Genomic DNA, 6000 nt, shown 5'->3' with positions numbered 1-6000 from the left:
TGCAGGTTTGTTATGTAAGTATACCTGTGCCAGGTGGTTTGCTGCACCTATAAACCCGCCGTCTAGGTTTTAAGCCCCACATACCTTAGCTGTTTGTCCTAATGCTCTCCCTCCCTTCACCTCCCACCCCCTGACTGACCCTGATGTGTGTTGTTCCCCTCTTTATGTCCATGTGTTCTCATTGTTCAACTTCCACTTGTGAGTGAGAACATGCAGTGTTTGGTTTTCTCTTCCTGTGTCAGTTTGCTGAGGATGAAGTCTTCCATCTTCATCCATGTCCCTGCAAAGGACATGAACTCATCCTTTTTTATGGCTGCATAGTATTCCATGGTGTATATGTGCCACATTTTCTTTATCCAGTCTATCACTGATGGGCATTTCCGTTGGTTCCATGTCTTTGCTATTGTGAACAGTGCTGCAATAAACATACATGTGCATGTGTCTTTACCATAGAATGATTTATAATCCTTTGGGTATATACCCAGTAATGGGATTGCTGGGTCAAATGGTATTTCTGGTTCTAGATTCTTGAGGATACGTCACACTGTCTTCTACAATGGTTGAAGTAATTTACATTCTCATCTGCAGAGTAAAAGCATTCCTATTTCTCCACAGTCTCACCAGCATCTATTGTTTCCTGACTTTTTAATAATCACCATTCTGACTGGCATGAAATGGCTCTCATTGTGGTTTTGATTTACATTTCTCTAATGATCAGTGTCAGGCCTCTGAGCCCAAGCCAAGCCATCGCATCCCCTGTGACCTGCACGTATACACCCAGATGGCCTGAAGTAACTGAAGAATCACAAAAGAAGTGAATATGCCCTGCCCCACCTTAACTGATTACATTCCACCACAAAAGAAGTGTAAATGGCCGGTCCTTGCCTTAACTGATGACATTACCTTGTGAAAGTCCTTCTCCCGGCTCATCCTGGCCCAAAATCACCCCCACTGAGCACCTTGCGACCCCCACTCCTGCCTGCCAGAGAACAAATCCCCTTTGACTGTAATTTTCCTTTACCTACCCAAATCCTATAAAATGGCTCCACCCTTATCTCCCTTCGCTGACTCTCTTTTCTGACTCAACCCACCTGCACACAGGTGATTAAAAGCTTTATTGCTCACACAAAGCCTGTTTGGTGGTCTCTTCACATGGACACGCATGAAATTTGGTGCCATGACTCGGATCGGGGGACCTCCCTTGGGAGCTCAATCCCCTGTCCTCCTGTTCTTTGCTCCGTGAGAAAGATCCACCTATGACCTCAGGTCCTCAGACCAGCCAGCCTAAGGAACATCTCACCGATTTTAAATCAGGTAAGCGGCCTCTTCTTACTCTCTTCTCCAACCTCTCTCACTGTCCCTCAACCACTTTCTCCTTTCCACTCTTCAATCTCTCCCTTCTCTTAATTTCAATTCCTTTCATTTTCTGGGAGAGACAAAGGAGACACATTTTATCCATGGACCCAAAACTCCGGTGCCGGTCACGGACTGGGAAGGCAGCCTTCCCTTGGTGTTTAATCATTGCAGGGACACCTCTCTGATTATACACCCATGTTTCAAGGATGTCAGACCACGCAGGGACGCCTGCCTTGGTCCTTCACCCTTAGCGGCAAGTCCCGCTTTTCTGGAGAAGGGTCAAGTACCCCAACCCCTTCTGTCCTTGTCTCTACCCCTTCTCTGCTTTTCTGGGGACAGGGCAAGTACCCCAACCCCTTCTCTCCTTGTCTCTACCCCTTCTCTGCTTTTCTGGGAGAGGGGCAAGTACCCCTCAACCCCTTCTCCTTCACCCTTAGTGGCAAGTCCTGCTTTTCTACTGGGCAAGAATCCCCAATCCCTTATTTCTGTGCCCCAACCTCTTATCTCTGTGCCCCAATCTCTTATTTCCGTGCAACAACCTCTTATCTCTGTGCCCCAATCCCTTATTTCCGTGCAACAACCTCTTATATCTCTGCACCTCAATCCCTTATTTCCACACCCCGACCTCTTATCTCTGTGCCCCAATCCCTTATTTCCATGCCCTGACCCCTTATTTCTGTGCCCCATCCCTTATTTCCCTGCCCCGACCTCTTATCTCTGCGCCCCAACCCCTTTTCCCACTTTTCTGGAAGGTAAGAACCTCCGAACCCCTTCCCTCCATTTCTCTACTCTCTCTTTTCTCTAGGCTTGCTTCCTTCACTATGGGCAACCTTCCACCCTCCATTCCTCCTTCTACTCCCTTGGCCTGTGTGCTCAAAAACTTAAAACCTCTTCAACTCACACCTGACCTGAAACCTAAATGCCTTATTTTCTTCTGCAATGCCGCTTGACCCCAATACAAATTTGACAGTAGTTCCAAATAGCCAGAAAATGGCACTTTGAATTTTTCCATCCTGCAAGATCTAAATATTTCTTGTCGTAAAATAGGCAAACGGTCTGAGGTGCCTGATGTCCAGGCATTCTTTTACACATCAGTCCCTTCCTAGTCTCTGTGCCCAGTGCAACTTGTCCCAAATCTTCCTTCTTTCCCTCCCGCCTGTCCCCTCAGTACCAACCCCAAGCGTCCCTGAGTCTTTCTAATCTTCCTTTTCTACAGACCCATCTGACCTCTCCCTTCCTCCCCAGGCTGCTCCTCGCCAGGCCGAGCCAGGTCCCAATTCTTCCTCAGCCTCTGCTCCTCCACCCTGTAATCCTTTTATCACCTCCCCTCCTCACACCTGGTCCAGCTTTCAGTTTCATTCTGCCACTTGCCCTCCCGCACCTGCCCAGCAATTTACCCTTAAAAAGGTGGCTGGAGCCAAAGGCGTAGTCAAGGTTAAAGCTCCTTTTTCTTTATCCTAAATCAGAAGCATTTAGGCTCTTTTTCATCAAATATAAAAATCCAGCCCCATTCATGGCTCGTTCGGCAGCAACCCTGAGACACTTTACAGCCCTAGACCCTAAAAGGTCAAAAGGCCGTCTTATTCTCAAAATACATTTTATTACCCAATCTGCTCCCGACATTAAATAAAACTCCAAAAATTAAATTCCGGCCCTCAAACCCCACAACAGGATTTAATTAACATTGCCTTCAAGGCGTACAATAATATAAAAAAGTTGCAATTCCTTGCCTCCACTGTGAGACAAACCCCAGCCACATCTCCAGCACACAAGAACTTCCAAACGCCTGAACCGCAGCAGCCAGGCGTTCCTCCAGAACCTCCTTCCCCAGGAGCTTGCTACACGTGCCGGAAATCTGGCCACTGGGCCAAGGAATGTCCGCAGCCCAGGATTCCTCCTAAACCGCGTCCCATCTGTGCGGGACCCCACTGAAAATCGGACTGTTCAACTCACCTGGCAGCCACTCCCAGAGCCCCTGGAACTCTGGCCCAAGGCTCTCTGACTGACTCCTTCCCAGATCTTCTTGGCTTAGCGGCTGAAGACTGACACTGCCCGATCACCTCGGAAGCCCCCTCGACCATCACGGACGCCGAGCTTCAGGTAACTCTCACAGTGGAAGGTAAGCCCGTCCCCTTCTTAATCAATATGGAGGCTACCCACTCCACATTACCTTCTTTTCAAGGGCCTGTTTCCCTTGCCTCCATAACTGTTGTGGGTATTGACGGCCAGGCTTCTAAACCTCTTAAAACTCCCCAACTCTGGCGCCAGCTTAGACAATGCTCTTTTAAGCACTCCTTTTTAGTTATCCCCACCTGCCCAGTTCTCTTATTAGGCCAAGACACTTCAACTAAATTATCTGCTTCCCTGACTATTCCTGGACTACAGCTACATCTCATTGCCGCCCCTCCTCCCAATCCAAAGCCTCCTTTGCGTCCTCCTCTTGTATCCCCCCACCTTAACCCACAAGTATACCTCTACTCCCTCCTTGGTGACCGATCATGCACCCCTTACCATCTCATTAAAACCTAATCACCCTTACCCCACTCAACGCCAATATTCCCATCCCGCAGCATGCTTTAAAAAGATTAAAGCCTGTTATCACTCGCCTGCTACAGCATGACCTTTTAAAGCCTATAAACTATCCTTACAATTCCCCCATTTTACCTGTCCTAAAGCCAGACAAGCCTTACAAGTTAGTTCAGGATCTATGCCTTATCAACCAAATTGTTTCGCCTATCCACCCTGTGGTGCCAAACCCCTACACTCTTGTCCTCAATACCCTCCTCCACAACTCACTGTTCCGTGCTTGATCTTAAAGATGCTTTTTTCACTATTCCCCTGCACCCCTCGTCCCAGCCTCTCTTCGCCTTCACTTAGACTGACCCTGACACCCATTAGGCTCAGCAAATTACCAAGGCTGTACTGCCGCAAGGCTTCATAGACAGCCCCCATTACTTCAGTCAAGCCCAAATTTCATCCTCATCTGTTACCTATCTCGGCATAATTCTCATAAAAACATACGTGCTTTCCCTGCTGATCGTGTCCGATTAATCTCCCAAACCTCAATCCCTTACAAAACAATAACTCCTTTCCTTCCTAGGCATATAGTTAGTGCGATCAGAATTCTTATGCAACAGCCAGGACTGCACCCTGTAGCCTTTCTGTGCAAACAACTTGACCTTACTGTTTTAGCCTAGCCCTGATGTCTGCATGCAGCGGCTGCCGCTGTGTAAGAATTCTGATCGCACTAACTATATGCCTAGGAAGGAAAGGAGTTGTTGTGAACTTTAGAGAGTGAGTTGAGCATAGTTTGTGATTTTGAGGGCCTCTAAACTTTTAGAGGCCCTCAAAATCACAAACTATGCTCAACTCACTCTCTAAAGTTCACAACTTCCAAAATCTATTTGCTTCCTCATACCTGATGCATATACTTTCTGCTCCCCGGCTCCTTCAGCTGTACTCACTCTTTGTTGAGTCTCCCACAATTACCATTTTCCCTGGCCCAGACTTCAATCTGGCCTCCCACATTATTCCTGATACCACACCTGACCCCCATAACTGTATCTCTCTGACCCACCTGACATTCACCCCATTTCCCCAAATTTCCTTCTTTCCTGTTCCTCACCCTGATCACGCTTGATTTATTGATGGCGGTTCCACCAGGCCTAATCGCCACACACCAGCAAAGGCAGGTTATGCTATAGTACAAGCCACTAGCCCGCCTCTCAGAACCTCTCATTTCCTTTCCATTGTGGAAATCTATCCTCAAGGAAATAACTTCTCAGTGTTCCATCTGCTATTCTACTACTCCTCAGGGATTATTCAGGCCCCATCCCTTCCCTACACATCAAGCTCGAGGATTTGCCCCCACCCAGAACTGGCAAATTAGCTTTACTCAACATGCCTGAGTCAGGAAACTAAAATACCTCTTAGTCTAAATAGACACTTTTACTGAATAAGTAAAGGCCTTTCCTACAGGGTCTGAGAAGTCCACCGCAGTCATTTCTTCCCTTCTGTCAGCCATAATTCTTCAGTTTAGCCTTCCCACCTCAATACGGTCTGATAACAGTGAGCCTTTATTAGTCAAATCAGCCAAGCAGTTTTTCAGGCTCTTAGTAATGGACTAAAGGTCTTTTAAAAACACACCTCACCAAGCTCAGCCACTAACTTAAAAAGGACTGGACAATACATTTACCACTTTTGCTTCTCAGAATTCAGGCCTGTCCTCAGAATGCTACAAGGTACAGCCCATTTGAGCTCCTGTATAGATACTCCTTTTTGTTAGGCCCCAGTCTCATTTGACACCAGACCAACTTAGACTGTGCCCCAAAAAAACTTGTCATCCCTACTATCTTTTGTCTAGTCATACTCCTATTCACCGTTCTCAACTACTCATACATGCCCTGCTCTTGTTTACACTGCCAGTTTACACTGTTTCTCCAAGCCATCACAGCTGATATCTACCTTTTATACCTGTTTTTCTCCTTCTCTTATTCCATTTAGTTTTTCAATTCATACAAAACCATATCCAGGCCATCGCCAATCATTCTATACGACAAATGTTTCTTCTAACTACCCCACAATATCACCCCTTACCACAAGACCTCCCTTCAGCTTAATCTCTCCCACTCTAGGTTCCCACAC

The 6000-nt window shown here is 47.0% G+C and overlaps 2 annotated features.

Annotated features, from left to right (window-relative positions):
- Nucleotides 548-1303: an enhancer, noted in NCBI's record as "NANOG-H3K27ac hESC enhancer chr4:190405973-190406728 (GRCh37/hg19 assembly coordinates)". NCBI's record gives its function as "activates a minimal SCP1, AML or CMV promoter by ChIP-STARR-seq in naive H9 embryonic stem cells {active_cell/tissue: H9 hESC(naive)}" and the evidence as "EXISTENCE:reporter gene assay evidence [ECO:0000049][PMID:30033119]".
- Nucleotides 1304-2059: an enhancer, noted in NCBI's record as "H3K27ac hESC enhancer chr4:190405217-190405972 (GRCh37/hg19 assembly coordinates)". NCBI's record gives its function as "activates a minimal SCP1, AML or CMV promoter by ChIP-STARR-seq in primed H9 embryonic stem cells {active_cell/tissue: H9 hESC(primed)}" and the evidence as "EXISTENCE:reporter gene assay evidence [ECO:0000049][PMID:30033119]".

The sequence above is a fragment of the Homo sapiens genome, chromosome 4, assembly GCF_000001405.40.
Source record: "Homo sapiens chromosome 4, GRCh38.p14 Primary Assembly".
NCBI lineage: Eukaryota > Metazoa > Chordata > Mammalia > Primates > Hominidae > Homo > Homo sapiens.
The sequence above is the reverse complement of the archived record's forward strand: the minus strand, read 5'-3'. Positions and strand labels throughout refer to the sequence as shown.